Genomic DNA, 21,027 nt, shown 5'->3' with positions numbered 1-21,027 from the left:
TTTTATTAGATGCTGGACATTTTGAATATTACACTGTTGGTGGTGTTTTAATGTTTTCCTTTAAAGAAAGTTTAATTTTATTTTGAGAGGCAGTTAAGTTACTTGCAGACTAACTTGATCATTTTGAGACTTGTTTGAAAGCTTTTCTAGGGTGGACCTTGGATAGGTTCTACTCAGTGGTATTGAGAGGCTTTTTTCTTCCTGACACCAACCAGTTCTGACACCAATGAGGTGTCCTGCAATTCAATTCAACGCCAACACCAACTACCTGGAGTTGGCATCAGACTCCACAGGTTTAAGGGCTCACTCCACAAAATTGTTCTTACTTTAGATGCTTCTCAATTATTGGGTCCCCAGGTTACCCCCATTCTGCCCAAAATGAGTGCAAAGTTGGAAGTTCCCACAATCCCCCCTGTTTCATGTTTGATAATTTTCTAAATGACTCACAGAATTCAGAAAAGTGCTTTGCTTACTATTACTGATTTATGATAAAGGATACAACTCAGAAACAGCCTATGGAAGAGATGCATAGCGCAGGGTATGAGGGGAGGGGGACTCAGAGCATCCATTCCCTCCCAGTGCCTTGATGTGTTCAACAACCTGGAAGCTGTCCAAACCTTGTCATTTGGGGATTTTTATGGAGGTTCTGTTACTAGGGCATGATTAATTGAATCACTGGCCATTAGTGATTGACTTAATATTTCTAGCCCTGTTTCTCATCCTCCCCACCTTCCACTGCCACACACAACCCCCAGGTTGAGCGGTGGGGTGGAAAATTCCAAGCTTTATCTTTCTGGTGACTATCCCCCATCCTGAAGCTATCTAGTGGCCTGCCAAGAGTTGCCTTGTTAGAACAAAAGACACTCCTATCACCCTTATCATTCTGAAAATGCCAGGATTTTTAGGAGTACTGCGTCCCCGTGACCAGGGACAAAGACTATATATCTTCCTACAATACCTGTGGTATTATACCTGGTAAGTGCTCAACAATCAGCTCTCTGGGGTGGGGGTGGTTGAAACAACTGTAAATTGTAGTATATGCTGATTTACTTGGCGTAAATATTCTGTAATAGCTGATTTCCAGCTACCAATGTATGTCATTGAAGTTGAGACAAGAGATATACACAATTGGCTCTCACAAACTAGTGCAAGCCAACTTCAACACACCACTGCCTTTACTGTGGCCTGGCTGAGCCCTAATACTTCATGAAGCATAACCATTTTGGGGTCTCTACTGAATGCATGACTGTTGAAAGAGGCCTCTCTACTCTGAATGGTCAGAAATCGAACATCTTATCCATCCTGTGTGAGCTCATGTTAATCGCTTATGTTAGATCTCTCTGGTAATTGTTCCTTCTCTCATAATTTTATTTGTACACCTGTCATGGAGTTTCATTCTACATATGTACAGCTTAGTGTTCAGTCCAGGGTTCAAGACAAAACCTTATGCCCATTTCTGAACCTATCTCACTCCCTTCTTCCTGATACTGTACCTTGAATATTCAAGCTGCCTTGGCCTCCCTGAACTCTGATCTCTGTCTCCTTAACTCAGTTAGGAAGATGCCACAATCTTCCTGGGTTTCCCCTCCCTGCATCACACTCCAGAAAGTTCCTCCAGGCAGAAAACTGTGCTAATCTTAAGTCTCACCTTGTTTGTTTCCTTTCTCTGAGGGCTCATGGTCTTGGGCTACCTGTTGTGCAATGTCTGAAACTTGTTTCATGTCTTTTGTCTTGTCTTCTGGTTGTCTGCAGTGGGGTGGAAGTCTGTTAGCAGTTACTCCATTGCAGCCAGAAGAGGGAGTCCTCCTCAGTTTCCATTTAAGTAAAGCCAATTCTTTTCTTATAGGAAGATATCCCATTTCTGATTTTATATTTTCCTTTTACTAAGGAGGAACTTACCTTATTTCTGTTTTCATAGAAACCATCAGCTTGCTACTCTTTTACCTACCATGCTACTCCTTCCTCTACTGCTAGTAAATGGATTGCCCACACACCCTGGAAAAAGCCTGGTGGTCGCAGCATTCTGAAAGAGCACCGTGCACCTGGCTCACCCTCTCTGAGCAACAGAAGTTTGATTGCTACACTCTGGTGGGGCCCATTGGATCTAGAATGATCCATAACACTATCTGGAGGAGTTTCTCTCCTCAGGAAACTATAAAAATGTTATAAGGACTAATTGAAAGTAACTGAATGCACATCAACAAATGAGTCTAAAGTAGAATTGGTTATATCTAGTTAAGCATAAAATAAATACTGAACATTTGATTCTTTTATATTAACTTCAAATTCTCCCTTATGAGGTAAGTGGGAAAAAATCTGTAACTGCACAGGCCTAAGAGGTTATGTCTGTTCTGGTACAATCTGGATTTCCCTTTTCTTGCATTATTGAGGCTTGGCCAATCGTCTTCAAGTGACCTATGCTGCTCTTGCTCCATACGAGTCTGTGCTGGGAGGGAGTCATCTATTCATCAGTGACTTTCTTACCTTACACATGACCATTTTTTAGCCTCTGTCTGAAATCACTTTTATCATTTGAACGTCAAGGTCTTTAACAACGAAAATGATAATAAGATTTTTCTTTCTTACAATATACTCTGCAAAATGCCTCCTGTCTGTTACTTACCATTAGGGAATGGCTTGTCTTTCTGGTGGTATTATGGTATATATCATTTCTTGTGGCCGCTATAACAAATTACTGCACATTTAGTGGCTTAAAACATCAGAAACTTATTCTCTCACAATCTTGGAGGACACAAGTGCAAAATCAGTTTCACTGGACCAAAATCAAGGTGTTAAAGGGGCTGCAGTCCTTTTAGAGGCTCTAGGAGAAAATCTGTTCCTTGCCTTGGGGACGTATTACTCCTGTTTTCAAGGCCAGCATCTTCAAACCTCTGTCTGCTCCTTCTTCATGTTGCTTTCTCTTTTGTGTGTATCAAATGTCCCTCTAACTCTCTCCTATAAGGACATTTGTGATGACAATTAGGGTCCACCTACACAAGCCAGAATAAGCTCCTCATTTCAAGATCCTTAATCACATCTGCAATGACTCTTTTTCAAAATAAGGAAACATTTACAGGTTCCAGAGATTAGGATTTGGTTATCTTTTTGTGTGGGGATGGGGCAGGGAGGTTGGAGGAAGCAGTCTGCAGCCCACCACACAGGGGTTCTGCTCCATGTCTACATGCATCTCCTCAATGACTGTTGACTTCTGTGAGACAAGTCTTCTGTTCATGCTGTGGCACTTTGAGGGTAGCAACTAAAGAAAGAAAAATCCAGAAAAAAATGAACTGTGTAGAAATGTGGGTGCTATGGAGCCCCCGTGTAGGTCCCTGTGTAACACTGTTAAATTACATACCATTTCTGTCTGTAGAAACTAAGGGTTTTTCTTTTCAGCCATTTCAGGCCCACTTTAGTCAAGGCATCCCTATGTTGGTAAGAAGCACAGTGACATACTCCAGAGACTCTTCAGACAGCACTACCATCTCTATTTGTTACATGATCTTCATTTATTCTAGAAGTGTTCTGCACAGTTAGCCTCAAGAGAACCCAGATCAGCAAGGCAGTGCCCACAGCCACCATTAGTCACCTGAGAGTTTCAGTGAGGAAGAAAAATTAAAAAAGCAAAAAGAGAGATTCTGGGGCACAGATAGATAGTAAGAGATGAAAAAATAATAAAAGAGGAAAAATAAAAGAAATAGCTCCATCTGGAGGGGAACAGTTAACCAATAAATGACTATACATTTAATGAGCAACTATAATACAATATAATGTACTAGAGCAGAAAGAAAGAAAATAAGTATGACATCATCCTTGCCGTCAGAGAGCCTTTAATGTAGTAAGACAGAAGTATACACATCTAACTATAATACAAGATATATTAATACAAGGATCATGCAAAAGGGTCAAAATGATGTGGAAATTTATTTTTTTAGAAAGTGGGGTCTTGCTATGTTGCTCAGACTAGATTCAAACTCCTGGGCTCAAGCAGTCCTCCTGCCTCAGCCTCCTGAGTGGCTAGGACAACAGGCATGCACTACCACACCTGGCTGCTGTGGGAACTTAAAGGAAGTCCACAGCCAGCTTAAGAGATCACGGAAGGTTTCACAAAGGAGACAGTGTGTGAGTGACACCTAGAACTAGTAGCAGAAGGAAGATAAGAACTCACACAACTCTGTGCCTGAGTCCTGTACAAATCCATGGTCTGTAACTTCAGCTGAGCAAGCTTTCAGCACAGGGCATGCCGACTCCAGGTCCTTACAATTTCTCTTTCATTCCCCCAGAGCAACTATTTTAGAACTCCCTCACTCTCCTCAAGCTCTACCCCACCACTTCTTTCTAATTATCAACAGAAAACCGTTAGCAAGAACATTTTCAACAGCTTTCATACATCTGTGAGTCAAACTGCATCATCTACATCCCACCCTACTTCTCCCCTGGCTCAGGGAAGAGGTGTTCCTCTTCCTGTGTGAGGTGGGTGGATGACCATCCCACCCATGCTTGGAATTACTCCTCCTCCCCCCTTGTAAGGGACTTTGCTCTGCTTGTCATTCCCTCTTTCTTATATGAAATGGTGAAGAGAGCAGGTTCGAAGTGGAATGGCTTGGGTTCCCATCTTAGTTCTACTTCTCTCTAGCTATTACATGAATAAATTTTCTCTCTGGGCCTTGGTTTCCCTATCTGTAAAATGGCATCTACTTTGTAAGGTTGTTGAGAGGATCAAATGAGCTATTCCTGTAAAACAGAGTTGAATCTCTGGCCCATAGAAGGTGTTCAGTAGGTGCCAGTATTTATCTTTCACCTCTCGTCAGTGGGCCCTTTAATCTCTGCCTCTAATCATGCTCAAATCACATCTGTCTATGGAAATAAAAATCCCTCTCTGGATTATCTCCTCTACCATTTGTTCTTCCTCTCCACTTCTCTTATGGGCTCTTTCGTTCCACTTCTCTTCATAACCAAAACTCTTGAAAGAATGGTCCATGCAGATGGAAGCTGTAACCTGAGTTTCAAGAAAGCCTGGAGCATGATTGGAGAGCACAGGGATAGTGGAAAGTGGGTAGCCCAGGTCCAAGTCACGGGCAAGCTGAGGTGTTGGACTTTATCCAGAAGGCCGTGCCGAGCTGTTGACTTCTGGCAAAGAAGTGGTGCAGTCAGAACTGTTCTTTAAGAATATTAACCTGGTAGCGATGTGTAGGTAAGAGCTCTTAGAAAATTGTTGCACTGGGAAAGGTGAACTTACGAGCTATAAAGGGGTGAAATACATAAAATCAACACTAATCGAACTGAGAGTCCTTGGCGAGGGATGAGGTATGGGAAAAGAGACAGAAGAAATCATGATGAGTGTGAGGTTTCCAGCCTGGTGGCTGCCTTCATTCAGACAGGGGAGTGAGAGGGAGGAGGAGAAGCTAGTTTGGGGATGGAAATGATGAGCTCAGACTGGGACTTGCTGGGTTTGAAGAATGACACCAGACACCAGGTGTCACTATACTCCCAGTCTGAAAATTGCAAAGCAGCCACTGCGCTACCAATCTTTTTTTTTTTCTTTTCTTTTTTTTTTTTTTTTTTGACAGAGTCTCGCTCTGTCTCCCAGGCTGGAGTGCAGTGGTGCGATCTCGGCTCACTGCAACCTCCGCCTCCTGGGTTCAAGCGATTCTTCTGCCTCACCCTCCCAAGTAGCTGGGATTATGTGCGTGCCACCACGTCCAGCTAATTTTTGTATTTTAATAAGGACAGGGTTTCACCAGGTTGGCCAGGCTGGTCTCGAACTCCTGAACTCAGGTGATCCACCCACCTCAGCCTCCCAAAGTGCTGGGATCACAGGTGTGAGCCACTGTGCCTGGCCTATCAAAGAATCTTAAAAGGCTGTGCAGATGGCAATCTCTAGGCAAGGCTCCTGTCCTGACTTCCTCTCATCTGCAGGGCTGGCACAGAAACTCCACATGAATTAGAGACTCTAGGTGTGTTAGAAATCCCACAGTGCTGATGGCTCCCTAGGAGCTCAATGCCCTGAAGGACTACTTCTTCAGGCCTTTAAGGATTTTGACCTTGGGGAAATAAGGTCTTAAGCCAAGAGTCACAAACTCATATGCCTTCTGGTAGTTATCGTAGGTAATATTATCAGGAGAGGGGAAGTCTGTGCAAACTAGAGTGCATGCCCAACCTAAAGACATTCAAATTCACAAATTAAAAACAAAGAGATCACTGTGCTGGCCTAACTAAATACATCTGCATCCAACCACTTTGCAATTTATGCCAAACTACTCACTCAAGGAATATGTTGACATCAAAGCCTTGAATGCTTAGGAGATGTAAAAGGAAGGGGGAGATATTAGAAAGAGGATAAATTGAGCCTTGACCAATTAACTCTCCTGAAGACAGTTTGTTTCTCTCCCTGTTTGTGTCCCAAATGCCCTAGAGCTAGGACACTGTGCTGGAGGCTCAGGGAGGCCATGGTCCTGCTGTGTCCTGCAGGAACCAGAAAACATTGGAGCATATTATCTGACTCAGTAATCCCCAAACTTTAGGCATTTGTGAAGGTCCTCACCCTCACCATGTTTGCCTTATCATCTGGACTGACTTTTCTATAAATAGAGCCTAAATCAATTCCCCTTTATATTTGTATGCATCCTAAATGTGTGAGTTTGAGTTACGTTTTTCTTAACACCCTTTAAAATGAAAAACATAGTCATTAAAATTAAAAGTGAATATCTGGACACCACCTAAAATAGTCTCAAGTACCCCCAGAAGTATGCATGTCATATGCTGGAAAGCACTGGTTCAAGTCCCTCACTTCACAGATGGAAAGGTTAAGGGAACCTGAATATAGTTTGGTGTTCGAAAGCACTGGCTCTGAATAAATAAGCCCTCGGTTCCAATCCAGACTCTGTGGCTTTGTCTAACTGCTTACACTTTCCGAGTTTCTGTTTTCTCATCTCTAACATAGGGGAAACTGCACCTGTCTCCCAGCAATGCTTGGAGAATTAGTGAGATTGCATGGAAAGCACTCAAGAAGTGGAGCTGTGGTGAATGTTCTATCACTACTGAGCTTGTTCCCATCCCAGAGTGAGCCAGGGGCAGGTCTGGAACCAGGACTGTTTCTCCTGCCACCTGGGCCAGGACACGTGCTCCACAGGAAGTGATTCACCACTTCAGAACGGACCAGCCAGATTCTCTTGGCAGTGAGCCCTGGGGCAGCCCTCCTGCTTCCCACTCCTCTCCCACTCACCTTTGAGGTATAGGCTGCCCACAATGGCTATGCAATTACCATGTTATAATTTATGCAAACACAAGATGTACAGGTGTTGAGAAATGTGGCATGAAAAGCACCAAATGTCTATCCTTCTTACACCTCAAATGTTCAACATTTTCTACAGCGACTGATGGCCTTATGAAAACATACAGAACAGCCATTTTCTGTGGATAGCTACATTTAAGACAGCTGTGTTCTAGAACACACTACAAAGGACCAATAAATCAAGCTGCTTGGCTTTACCCAAGAATTCAGAATTTTAGGGCTAAAAGGGACCACCCTGAAAATCACTCAGTCCAACCAGTTGTTTCGGCAAATAGACAAAACTGGGGCTCATGACTTCCTAGAGAGGTCAATTACTTCCCAAGTACACAGAGCTGGTGTGGTAGCTCTGGGACACCTCACTCCGTGACTGCATCTGTGATTGGTTGGTTAAAGCTGTTCGTTCCACTTTGCATGTAAGTGGTTGGAGAGCCTTAAGCATGGAATTCTATAATGAGATAAGGCATGTGGGTGAAGGGCTGAAGTCAGATTTTAAAAAGCTAAATGTTCCAGGATAGAGTGTGATGGATGGCATGAACTTGCAATCACACAGACCTGGGACCAAAGCTACCTTGCTACTTACTAGCTGTACATTCTTGTCCTTGAGCAAGTTAGTCCAGCTGTCTGCCTCCATTTCCTTATCTACGAGCTAAGGGTAACAACATCTACACTGCAGGATGGTTATGAGGATGACATTACATGCTTGTACAGGGCTATACAAAGTACTTGTGTTGGTCCATTTTCTGTTGCTGTGACAGAATACAACAGACTAGGCAATTTAAAAAGAAAAGGAGTTTATTTGCCTTGCTATTCTGGAAGTTGGGAAGTCCAAGAGCATGGCACCAACATCTAGTGATGGTCATCCCATGGTAGAAAGGCAGAAAGTGGAAGTCAGTGCAAGAGACAGAGAGAGCACAGGAAAAGAGAGCCAGAGGAAGCTCACTTTTATAACAGAGCCACTCCCTTGATAATGAACCCACTCCAGCGATAGCTACATTAATCCATTCATGAGGACAGAGGGATTAACTTTCCACATGAAGTTTTGGGGACTGACATTCAAACCATAGCAGTGTTCAAATCCTCATTAATCCTAAGGGATACAAATCATATTGTAGGGTTCCCTGGAGTTAAGCAAAAGCCGTGTGGTTCTGGGCATACATTTCAAGGTCAATAAGAAGTGGAGCTAAAACACCAAAAAGCTCCTGGGAAGAAATGGAGAGCTTGAATAGCACATGCTTTTTCGGGAACCACATACATCACTTCATGTAACACAGCCCTAAATTGTGAGAGAAGTAAGGAAGAGAGAATAAGAGGAAAGGAGGGTGAAATCAAAGTGTTGAAGGAAGATGAGAGTTGAGGGGGGCTCCCAAGATTCACTGGAACAGCTTGAGTTGGGTTTTCAGAAGGAAGAAAGTAATTTTTTAGAGAAAGGAGAATAAGAAATGTCAGCAGGAGTTGGAACTCTGGGGCGGTGCCGCCCTCTCTCAATCGTGTTGCTGCTATTTTAGGAGTCTCTTTGGATGGCAGCGTTGGCTCTCAGAGCACATAACCAGGTTTCCTCCTGTCTAAAGTGAGGCGTCCCTTGGGTCTCTACTCAGGACTCAGCATCAGGCCAGGGATGCCTGTGCCAGCCTCGCTCTGCTCACTGCCTTGCGTCAGGCGGTGCTGTCTGTCCTCCAGAGAAAGTCCTCCCCACTCTCTGGGTTTCCAGGCAGCAACTCCCTGGGCAGCTGCAGCCACCAGATATGCCTGGCTGCCCTGCCAACAAAAGCAAGGAAGGGGCTGGCAGTTGGCTCCACAGACCCATCTCTGAGAACACCTCAGGAATCACCCAAGCTTCAGCAAGTTATCTGCTTAAAGTTCAGTCCCTGCAACAAAGCAAACCCCCAAAAAGGGTGGGGTGGGGAGAACCTCAGCTACTTAAATCACAATCACTAGATGGAAGGAACAGAGAGTCAAAAATAATAAAGTTTCCTTTTTCAAATACGAAAACAGAGGTGCAGACAGAGGTCCTAATCAGTTCACCTGGTGAGTCTGAAATGGGCATGATTATAATTATCTCTATCTAATAAACGATTACTATTTTAAAATTCATTCAACATTCAACATGTATTTGTGAATGGGGCAAGCAACGGGTTGGACATTTTTACATACATCTCTTATCTCCACAACAACCTAGTACTGTTAGAATACTACGGCTTAGAAAAAAACAACTTGCCCAAGATTCCCCACCATATGAGTTGCAGCATTGAGATTTGAACCTGGGTCTGTGGTTTTGAAGCCCCCATAAAGCTGAGACTAGACTCATCTCTCTTGCTCCCAAGTAAGACTTCACCTTCATATTAGCGTCCAAGTTTCCCCTCGATGCTAAATCTAAGATTTACCCTTTGTTAAGCCTTCTGTGATCTTTACATTCTTTGTTATTTTCAGCCTTCCAATTGAGGGTTGGGGTTTCATTTCTAAAGGGATAAAGAAAGGAACATGTGGTTAGCAGTAAGCACCAGTAAGCAGAGGTGAATATTTTTATGATCCCCACCTTAGTATTAAGAAACTGAGGCTCACAGAGATGAAGTGACTTGCCCAAGGTCAACAGCAGTTATGGTGGAGCCAGAATTCCACAGCCAGTCTGTCTAACCCTACATCCCAGACTCTGTCATGGCTCTAGGCTGCCTGACAAGGCTAAAATTGTTACATTCATGTACCCCAAAGAATGGAGGGGTGCATGAATGTAATTTAATTTCATATTCAAATGTATGAATGTATGGATGAGCAAGTGTATTGACTAAATATTTTCAGTGATTAATCTACCAAGTGAAATATCTATAGCAAGCTGAGGTCTGCATGTATACACACCAGGTTAAATTTACCATTTAGTCTGTTGGCTGTAGGATGGTGAGACATCACATCTGGATTAGAACAAGCCAAGCAGGAGGAGGAAAAAAATATCACCTGGAGAGAGAGGCACACAGAGGAGTTGCTTCTGCCATTCCTGGATACTAAGTTGGGTTGTCTCTTACGGGGAGATACTTTTCTATAAGATGATTAATTTATGCTAAATAAGTACATCTTCAGAAGTAGAAGGAGGCAGAGAGCCAGCCAGCAATGGAATAGGAGAGAGTGGACATCCATTGATTTGTCTGGTCTAGCAGCTCCTCCCTAGAAACTGCCCCTCTTTCCACTTTGTTTCTACCAAGTGACCTGTCCCCCTGCCCCCCGCCTTAGTTGATTAGTTCAGGATTGGGCATCTGACCCATTTTAGAGCAAGGCCTTCCCTGGGCATTTGGAATTGGGCCTGAGAAGGAAAACTAACCACACTCAATATTCAAGTAACTCTGACCGGGCACCTTCAGTCTACTGTGTGGACCAGAGATGTCCTAGGTTCAAATGAGCCTCTGATGACCCCAGTGACATTAGAGCCCTTGGGTTTTGTGAGACACTCCTACATCCTTATAATAAAGTCTCCTTTACCCCCAACACCTTTTTTCCTTTAATCTATATAAAGTTGCTTGTAACTTACAAGCAGGAATCTAAACTAACATCCTTCCCCTCTCTCACCTCCATATCCAGAAAGTCACCAAGTCCCACTAATTCCACCTTTTTGGTATATCTCATACCCACCCCTTTCTCTTCACCTCCATGCTACTGCCTTTATCAAAGCCTCCCCATCCGTGCCTGGATTTCTACAACAGCCTCCAAATAGCTCTCCCTACTTCAGCCTGACTCTCCCATTCATTCTCTGTGCCACTGCCAGGGCCACCTACTAGAGTTCACTCCCTTGCTTACCAGAATTCTCATAGCCTTTGGCTTGAACTCCAAACTCCACAGCACATACACAAGCCTCGTGTGATCTGGCCCTCCACTCTAACTGCTCGCTGCATCCCCTCTCTCCCTCTGCTGTGACCCCTGTGTTCCACCTGAGCTTGCATTTCCCAGTAACTCATCACCGTTTTCTAGTCTCTAGACTTCTACTTGGCACACTCCTCTCCCAGCCTTTTCTCAACCAGCTTCTATTCATCCCTGCTGATCAGGAATAAATATGAGCCCTTAGACATCAATTCTAAGTCTAAGAGGTGGTAATGCATGGGCCAGGTCTTCCTTTTCTCTACTTCTGCCTCTCTGGGGTTGTCCCATAAACAAGGCCTTTTGACTTCTCAGTGTCTTCCACTGCTACTTTTCTAGCAAAACCAGCTCTCAGGAAGGGGCCTGTTATTTACTCTCTGGTATAGATTTAAGGCAATGAATCACCTCTTCCAGGAGTATCTGCATGTGGAGATTCATCACTGAAGGCAGAACTCATTAGCCCTAGTAAAGGGCTATCAGGCTTCTGTGAGAATGCAGGGGAGGTGTGTGAGTGCCCTGAAAAAGCACACCACACGGACACTACATCATGTGTAGGAGCTGCCCTGAGCACGGCGGTCTCTTAGAACCAGGAGAGAGGGAGAGAGAGAGAGATCATGGTGTGTAGAAAGCAATGGGCTGTATGCAATGTTCCTGACCTGTCCCAGGACAGTGTTCAGTGGTTGCCAGACATGCCTTGCATGATTCTCAGGGGCCCCATTCACAGGGACTATGATATGAATGGTATCCCCTAGAGTTGTGCCATGTAGCAGCCCTGGAAAATTCCTTGGAAAGGCAGAATCTCTGCCTACCTATCCCTCCTTTAGTCACCACCAATTATAGAGGGCAAGGGAGCTTCCCTTTGAGTCAGAGCAATGACCCACTCAGCACAGGACTCTGGCTCAGGCAGAGCCATTCCAGGAGGCCAAGTGGTCTGCAGGCAGGGAATTGCAGTCATTGCTCTGCCTTTCTCTCTTCTGTCCACTCTTCACCACCTGAGTCATTCATCTAATCTGCAAGTCTGACAATGGCACTCTCTTGCCCCCAATCTGTCAATGGCCCCTCAGTGCCTGTGAGACATACTCCTAGCTCTCTGGGATGGCACGTAAAGGCCTCCACAACCTGGCCTCTCACTCTTTCACTAACTTCATTTCCTCTCACTCTTCGTCTTGTATTTTACACTCCAGCCTCTGCCTACATCACAACCTTCATATCTTGAAATCCCAGTCCTTGTGGTCCCCTTGGCCTGGAATGCCCTTCTCTCCTCCTCCACACCTTCTTTCCCTGACCCCACTTCCCTACTTCTGTCCCTCAGGCACCATTGTCCTTTACCTGGCAAACTCCTGCTCCTCCTGGAAGGTCCCCCAGAGCACCCTGACACCACTCTCCTCCCATAGACAGTTGGATTGGGTGGCCATTACCTTGGCCATCCTGTCAGTGGGCCTCCACAGTGTCTGGCACTTGTCCATTTATGTGTCTCTCTCAGGAGACTGTGAGATCCTTGAAATATTATCTTGAATTAATTATTATTAATGTCTTATTCATTCATGTTTCTTTAGTGTCTAACTCAGGACCTGGCACATAGATATTATACTCAATACCTGAGTGGATTTCACTTCAATTAGCTTTAAACTTAAATTTTATTATGTAAAGCTTAGTTTAATAAAAAGAAATTACCATGCTTGGCGTATGAGGAAATGCAAATTGTTCTTAAAACTGGGGAAATTCAGAGAAGGAAAAACTTATTTTCTTTGCTAAAATATCTTGAGGAAAAACATACTCTTCTGTACCCTTTCCCAGGATCAAACATTTATAATCTTTATAACATGAGTTCCTGAAGGCAAAGGTTTTTTGTCATCTTCATCTTTGTGTATTCAGCAGTTCACAGAGTGCCTGGCTCATAATATATATATTCAATAAATGAATTAAACTGAATTAAAGGAGAGAGAGAATGTAGAAGATCAGAGGCAAAATAAGAAGCCAGGAAAGCAGCAAAGCAGGGTGACCAGGGGAAAAAAGACCTCATTTTCAGTTGTGCTTTCCATCATTCCTTTCCAGCATTTTTATGGCAGTTCCCTGGCACAGCTCCCACTCTGCAGCGAGCCAGGGAAAGGAGATGGCAGAATGATGTTGCTCGTGGGACTTTGCCTTGCTCTTTGATTCTGCTGCCGTGGGGCAGGTGCATTTTCTCAATTACACACAAAGGTGGCAGGCCATTTCTAGCCACCTTGGCCCCACCTGGCAAATGAAGCCTTAATTTTCAACAGACAGACATTTCAGAGCAAAGTCAGGAGGCTCCTAGGTAAACGGGAAAACAGATGCTCTTGCCAGATGCAAACTGGCTCGTGAGGGATGGTGGTTGTGGTTGCTGAGGGATCCCCAGAATTCAACAACCTGCTAGCCAGCCACAACTGGTGAGGTCCAGGGTCTAAGATAGATGAAGTGGCACACTTACGGCTTTCTGAGACCCAGTTCTTGGAACATTTCCACAGTCTGTCCGTCTCTAAACCTGTTTCCTCATTTGTAAGAGGAAATGATACTGACTCAGGGGATTTCTGACCGTCAAATGATGCCTGGCACATGGGAAGCACTCAGTACAGAGTCGCCATCATACATATCACTGTGTTGGTGCTTCAATGACTTCATCTGTTAACCAGGGAGGGCAAGACTTATTTTACACCATGATGCGAGGATCCAGTGACGTGGAATTCATAGGCTCTGAGCAAAAGATGCAGGGATTTTTATGTGAATTTTATGCCGGTTTCCTCTATCCTGTGCTTTCCAGCTATGTTTTTTTTTTTTTTAACACAAGTAAAAAGCACTTAACCCAATTTGCTAAAGCCAAACCAAGCTCATCACAGAATCATCAGTTCAGGTTGCCAGGCAGGCAGGTAGAAGCAATGCCATGAGCAGTGTATCTTGATTTCTGAAAGACAGTGATAAAAGTCTCTCAAGAAATGCTTGTAGACATGATGAAGACATGTGGACTAGGCACCAACACCCATGACTGCCTGAACAGTCATACACCAAAACGGTTAACATCAATAAGGAGAGACTTTTCCTATTATGGAGGTAGAGCTCTAGAATATGGCCCTATCTGAAGGAAGATGGCTTTTTAAAATTAATCATTTGAACTAAGACAGAAACTATGCTTAGTGAATTTGGAAATTATGCAAAACCAGGACAAAAGCAAAAATAGCAATATTTCAACAGGATGAAAAAATGGACCAAAATCATCACACTGTTACAGTAAAAATGTAAACACCTATACTTGGATTAAAAAAAAAGAGAGAACATAGCTGGAAAGCACAGAATGGAGGAAACCAGTAAAAAATTCACACAAAAATAAATTTAAAAACTACACTTAAAAGATAAATCAGTGTGAGTCGTTGGTGCAATCTGGCTGCCAAAACTAAGGTAATCTTAGGCTGCATTAATAAAAGCACAGTGCCCAGAAAAAAAAAGAACAAATTGTTTCAATAGGTTCTAATATCTACTCAAACTGGAGTCTTTCTAGAGAGAAAATAACCAAAATAATGAAGAGTTTGGAAGGCCATGTGGTTTGAGAAACAGTTGAATATAATGGAGATAAAAGATGAAGAAAGTGGGCTAGTGATGTTGAGAAAGAGGATATTTAGAAGGTACTTAACCTTTTTTTTTTTTTTTTTTTTTTTGACAGAGTCTTTCTCTGTTGCCCAGGCTGGAGTGCATTGGTGTGATCTCGGCTCACTGCAACCTCTGCCTCCCCGGTTCAAGTGATTCTTCTGCCTTATCTTTCCAAGTAACTGGGATTACAGGCGTGTGCCACCAGGCCCAGCTAATTTTTGTATTTTTAACAGAGACAGGGTTTTGCCATGTTGGCCAGGCTAGTCTTGAACTCCTGACCTCAAGTAATCCACTTGCCTCGGCCTCCCAAAGTGTTGGGATTGCAGGCGTGAGCCACCATGCCCGGCCAGTACTTAACTATTTATCTTTAAGTGAAAGGAATGAAACTCTCCGTGAGAAAGTCCTTAGACATATTCTGTGTAGGACTGTAGGACTGGACATTAAAAGGTGACTTTAAAAGTAGACCCTAAAGGAAATATATTTTAGTTAGATAAGAGAAAGGACTCATGGTCATAAGATGGCTGCCACAGCTCCTGGCACTTTTGAAACAGCCCCTATAAACTTTATAAAATTAACCAGGGAAGAAGGAAAGGGAAGAAATGAAAATAAACCAAGTTCACAGCACATTCAGCAGTAATCGTGAGGTCTACTTGCTCTCTGACCTGTTTCCTCATAGTTACTCTGTGCCTATTGCCTCAGAATCACATAGATCCTGTTAAAAGATTATAAAGCCCCTTAACTGTTCTATAGAAAACAACTTGAACATTATGAAACATTATGTTTTCCCTTTGAGATACTCTTTTGGGTCCTGCATACTGATGAAGCTACTGACTCAGCTAGTTTGAAGGACCCCATGAGATCCTGACTCACCAAAGAAGGCAGTTTCCACATCCTGATGATAGAACTTTGTTCCATCGTCTTGGCCCAACCAATTAATAACCTCAATTTTTTAGCCACTCACTCTCCACAATCCCCTTAAATTAAAACGCCAGCCCAGAGCTCCTTGGAGAGATGGATTCAAGGGTCTCCTCCCATCTCCTGACGTGGTGCCCTGCAATCATCAAATTCTTTCTCTGCTGCAAACCCTGCTGACATAGTGTAATTGGTCTGTTACTGCACAGCGGGCATAAGAACCTGTTGGTCCTATAACACTTTGACTGTGGTCAAAGACACAATCAAAGACAAGAAGTGAGGGAAGAGTAGCACCAGAAAGGTCCTCTCTCCTATTTGTTTCTTTTATCAGGAAGCAAAATATCTTGTCCGGGTGGTTACCCCTAGCTGTAAAGGAGACTGGGAAATTGAATGTCTGGCACAGGGGTAGCTGGGACTTGCTTAAATCAATTATGACTAGGTCAAAAAGCCAATGCTGTAAGAATAATGGAGTGGAAAATGGAAAGAGCTTGGGTCCTCGCTGACATCACTGAGTTGCTGAATTAAATTTTAAACAGCCAAGCTTGTCTTCTTAGAGTGGGATAATAAATGTATATTTGACTGAGACATTCCTAGAAGGATTTTCTATCACTTGCAGTCAAATGCACCCTAATGGATACAGAGATGGTATTTATAAAGGTAACTGAGCCTACACCCAGTTGGACAATTCGTAATTTCCATTCATTCAACCAATATTTATTTAGTGTCCACTTTGTTCTAGGCACTGGTTAAACTCTGAAGATGTAATGGTGAGCAAAACTAACAAGGTCCTTGCCCTCTTGAATTTATAGTCTGGTGGGGAAGACAGGCACCCCCAAAACAACCCACAAAGGAGGAATATAAATATCCATCTCTCCTGCTTCTATGAAAAAGAGGTACATGGTATTATGGGAGCATTTAATAGAGAAATTATGCTGGTGGTGGAGTCAAGGAAGGCTGCCCTGAGAAGTGAGCAGCCATCTGAAATATGAATATGCACATTCAGGATTATGTCTTTGCCCAGAATGCTCTCTTTCTCTCCCCTGCCATGGCCCCCCCTCCCATCATGTTGCCTTATCCACTGTTTTGTTGAAACCTCCCATCATCCCAGTCATCTTCAGTATCATGCTTTCATGAAATCCACACTGACCTTTCCACTAGAAGTGACCTATTCCTTATTTAAACCCCATGAGATATGTTCTTACTCTGCCTCACAATTTCAGTGCTTGTTCTGCTTACCTCCTGACTCCCACGCCCACTTTGTAAGATGTGGACTATCTCATCTTCCCATTAAATGTCTAGCAACCTAGCTTGTTGTCTTGCACTTAATCAACATTCAATGCTTACTGTAATTGATTTTTTTTTTTTTTTTGAGACCAAGTATTGCTCTGTAGCCCAGGCTATAGTGCAGTGGCGGATCTCGGCTCACTGTAACCTCTGCCTCCAGGGTTCAAGCGATTCTTCTGCCTCAGCCTCTAGAGTAGCTGGGATTACAGGTGCATGCCACCAGGCTAGGCTAATTTTTGTATTTTCAGTAGAGATTACAGGGGTGAGCCACCACACTCCGCCCCTTAACTGAATTTTAAAACTACACTTTATCGGTGGGGCACAGTGGCTCACCCCTGTAATCCCAGTGCTTTGGGAGGGCAAGGCGGATGGATGGCTTGAGGCCAGGAGGTCGAGACCAGCCTGGCAACACGGCGAAACCCCAACTCTAGTAAAAATACAAAAAATTAAACGGGCATGGTGGCGTGCGCCTGTAATCCCAGGTACTCTGAAGGTCGAGGCACGAGAATCACTTGAACCCAGGAGGCGGAGGTTGCAGTGAGCCAAGATCATCCCGCCACTGCACTCCAGCCTGGGTGGCAGAGCAAGACTCTGTCTCAAACAAACAATCAAATACACCACATTTTATCAATGTTTACCCCCATATAGTTTCAGAAAAGATTTGATAGCTTACACAGAGGAGGGTGTGTGCATGATGTCCCCACAAACCTAGACACCCAGAGCATTGAATTTTTGTCCATAAACTGAATTTTTTGAAGATTAAAATATACTAATAAGGGTTATTATTATACTTATGTCAACTATTACTTATATGCGCTAGTTTCCTTAGTTTATTACAACCCTTATTCCTCAGCATAAGAAGCAAGGTGTTTGAATTTCCCAAGGGTGCATAATATCCTTTGAAGGGGCCTGGCTCTGTTCAATATTCCGAGTGACAGTTGTCCAGGATGGCACAGTGCCCTTCCTTAAATTCACATATTGGTAATCTTCACTGTAGGTTTATAAAAGGTTGTCCTCAGTAATTGAGGGACATAGTAACATAATTGCACACTATTGAAAGTGGACTCCCTCTTAGAGATAATCTGGTAACAGAGACCCGGAGATTTGTCCCAAACCAGGAAGACAGGAAGAGCTGTTCCCTTTGGTAATCATTTATCAGGCAGTAGCTTTCCCCATGGGGACTCGCGGAGAGTGTCGGAGATGTACAGTCATTCCCCTAACTTTCAACGTTTACACAACTCAGGACACACTCTAGGAAGGAATTCAATGATTTTCCTCTGGGTGGAGGTATTACTAGGTTCTAAAGCCGTGGCAGGCAAGCAGCTACCAACGGCGCTAAGTTCAAAGCTGCCCGAGAACTCGCCCAGAGTTAAGTCAGGGAAAAGAAACGCCTGGGAACAAACGCGCCTTCTCCCCTGCCCCAGGTGTGCTAAAGGACGATGCCGCAGATCCCTAACTAGCTCAGCCTTGGAGCGAGCGCTGGGTGCCTGCGATGGAAAGTCGCTCTTCTCGCCAAGAATGGTCGAACCCCAAAACTTCAGGGACGCCGCTCGGAGTAACTTCTCTTCACTCACTTGCGATCAGATGAGAAGAAAGTAAAGCCCTTCCAACGTCACCCTCAGCCGGCGCGCGGCAGCTGAGTCCCAGCGGGGACGGGGTCCGCCGGGTACCCCTCCGCCCGAGCCCTGTGCGCTTCCAGGTCCTCCTCCTCCGCGCGGTCACTGGCTGCATCTCCGCCGCCCCGGCACAATAGAGGCTCCGCCCTCCTTCCGCGCGAGCTCTCCGCGGCTCCCTAGCCCAGCAGCCCTCGCCCAGCAGCCCGCGCCGCCACCGCCTCTTCCCTCCCCGTGTCCGGTCCCCGTGCGTCCCGAGGCTCCCCGCCGCCCGTCCCGGCGCGCACCGCGGGCGTCTGTCCGAACGCCTTCCAGCCACCTGAGCCCTCCTGCGGGCGACTCGCTCAGCTAGCCCGTGCCCGCCTCCACCTTCTCCGTCATCCCCTCTTCCTTGCGTCCGGCTCTCCACTGGGGCTGCACAGTCGAGGGCTGCTCGCGTCGGGAAGGAGATGCCCAGAGTCTCTGGGGCGCACCCTCCCGTCCCGCTCAGCCGCACCCAGCTTTAGAAGGTGCTCTCAGCAGCCACTTTCGGGCTCTAGCGAGGACACCCTCTCGCAGAAGTCCTTGCCGAGACCCCCCGCCCCAGCCATTCTCTGAAGGGGCTGAGGACACTCTTATCGCGCCCCTCATGGCCAAGCCTCGGCTGCTAGTTCTCTACTTCGCTCTGATTGTGGTTCCGGCCTGGGTGTCCAGCATTGTCCTCACAGGGACAAGCGAGCCCCCAGATGCGCAGACAGTGGCGCCTGCGGAGGACGAGACTCTGCAAAACGAGGCGGACAACCAGGAGAACGTTTTATCTCAGGTAGGATGCAGAGTGCCACGACCGCCCTTCTTGCCCTGGATGGTGGTGAGAGCCAGAAGCTGGTCCTTGCTGAAGTGTTTGAGGGCAGCTGTTTTTCCTTCCATTACCAATGGAAAGGGCTTTTGATTTTTCATGTATCGGAATATTTTCTTAATGGAAGGATATAGGTTCTCCTCGCAAAATCATAGGGTGCTTAAAGGTCATCAAATCAGGAGAAAGGAGAGGTGAAGGAAGGGAAGATGCCGCTCGACTTCTTGAGAAGAAAGAAAACAAAGTTGTTTTTGGTTTCAGGGTTGTAAAAAGTATCTCTTGTCTATGTGGCTGTCTGTCAGAATTGGAATGTGAAAACAGCCGGATATGTTGACCAGGAGGCAGATGGCATATCCCATCGGGAGATACTTTATGGCAGAGGGTGGGACACCAGGCGGGAGCATGGGGTGAAGTCAGAACAGAAGCATGTGTGATGAATGTGAGGTGACCCCCAAACAGAGAGACTGAGAACATGACGGAGTGTACTGGGAGGGGAGAGTGGGAATGCAGATGCAGGCAGCTAGGGCAGACTGTCAGTGGGGGCCCGAGTAACCCATGATAGTGATGGGCTTCGTAAAGTGTCCGTTTACCAAGTACTTAAACTTGTTTTTTCTGACTCAATCTTCAAAACACCCTAATACCCATTTATAGATAAAGACCATAAGAGATACATGGGTAGGCCGGGCGCGGTGGCTCACGCCTGTAATCCCAGCACTTTGGGAGGCCGAGGCGGGCAGATCACGAGGTCAGGAGTTCAAGAGCAGCCTGGCCAATATGATGAAACCCCATCTCTACTAAAAATACCAAAATTAGCCAGGCGTGGTGGCAGGCACCTGTAGTCCCAGCTACTCAGGAGGCTGAGGCAGGAGAATCGCTTGAACCCGGGAGGTGGAGGTTGCAGTAAGCGGAGATCGCGCCACTGCACTCCATCCTGAGTGACAGAGTGAGACTCCGTCTCAAAAAAAAAAAAAAAAAAAAAAAAGAAGAGATACATGGGTAGAGCCAGGGCGTCTGACAGTCTTCAGCCCAGATCTCATGTCTGTAAGGGGTAGTTCTCTCTGGAGTGTTTATTTTGTGCTCTCCAGAGCCGGCATGATGACGTGTGGTGGGTGTCACCAGAATCCTCAGAATGGGGGATGTCTGAAAAAGGATCCTCCAGGGCTGCCTGTACCTTCACCTCCACCAAGCCCTAGGACTGGGCCTTGTCTCCTTCCTGTAGAGAGAATAATCAGCTGCACTTTGGGATTTATCAAACACTAGCCTCCTCACTCTTCCTTTAATAATGATGCTAATGTATGCCCTCTGCCCCCCCATTACCTCCCACTGACCCCTAAATCGAAAAGACATAAAAATCTCTCACACTGGGGCTCTGGAACACTATCAACAAAAACTTTCCTGAAACCCGAGCCTCCTGTAAGGAAGGAATCCACCCAGGGTTCTCAGAGCAGGGTTATGTAGGAATCCAGGCAGAGTTTCAGAGAGCAGACAGCCACAATTTACTATCAGCCCGTAAAGAACAGCCGCTTAAGTCACCCTTAACTACACCACCTTCTTCCACTGATCCATTCTGTGTTTGACAACAGCCCTAAAGCAAATATTAGTATTAGAAGAAACCCAATCTTTGCAAGGAAAACATTACAAGTCTTCTTCCCCCA

General features: G+C 45.1%; 1 protein-coding gene across 3 annotated transcripts in view, besides 2 other annotated features; it reads left to right on the top strand.

Annotated features, from left to right (window-relative positions):
- Positions 18,106-18,400: a silencer, noted in NCBI's record as "tiled region #11962; K562 Repressive DNase matched - State 4:PromP". NCBI's record gives its function as "represses a minimal TATA promoter and a strong SV40 promoter by Sharpr-MPRA in K562 cells {active_cell/tissue: K562}" and the evidence as "EXISTENCE:reporter gene assay evidence [ECO:0000049][PMID:27701403]".
- Positions 18,469-18,618: a silencer, noted in NCBI's record as "silent region_1489". NCBI's record gives its function as "represses an Ori minimal core promoter by ATAC-STARR-seq in GM12878 lymphoblastoid cells {active_cell/tissue: GM12878}" and the evidence as "EXISTENCE:reporter gene assay evidence [ECO:0000049][PMID:35858748]".
- The window catches only part of OLFML2B (olfactomedin like 2B), a 40,678-nt gene continuing 38,380 nt past the window's right edge, over positions 18,730-21,027 (top strand). For all 3 annotated transcript variants that reach the window (NM_015441.3, NM_001297713.2, NM_001347700.2), the window contains exon 1: positions 18,730-19,342. In NM_015441.3, coding sequence (NP_056256.1) covers positions 19,169-19,342 — 174 coding nt within the window. In that variant the 5' untranslated portion in view covers positions 18,730-19,168. The remainder of the gene's footprint in view (positions 19,343-21,027) is intronic.

Source organism: Homo sapiens, chromosome 1, assembly GCF_000001405.40.
Source record: "Homo sapiens chromosome 1, GRCh38.p14 Primary Assembly".
NCBI classification, from domain to species: domain Eukaryota; kingdom Metazoa; phylum Chordata; class Mammalia; order Primates; family Hominidae; genus Homo; species Homo sapiens.
This window is presented reverse-complemented; position numbering and strand designations above follow the sequence as displayed.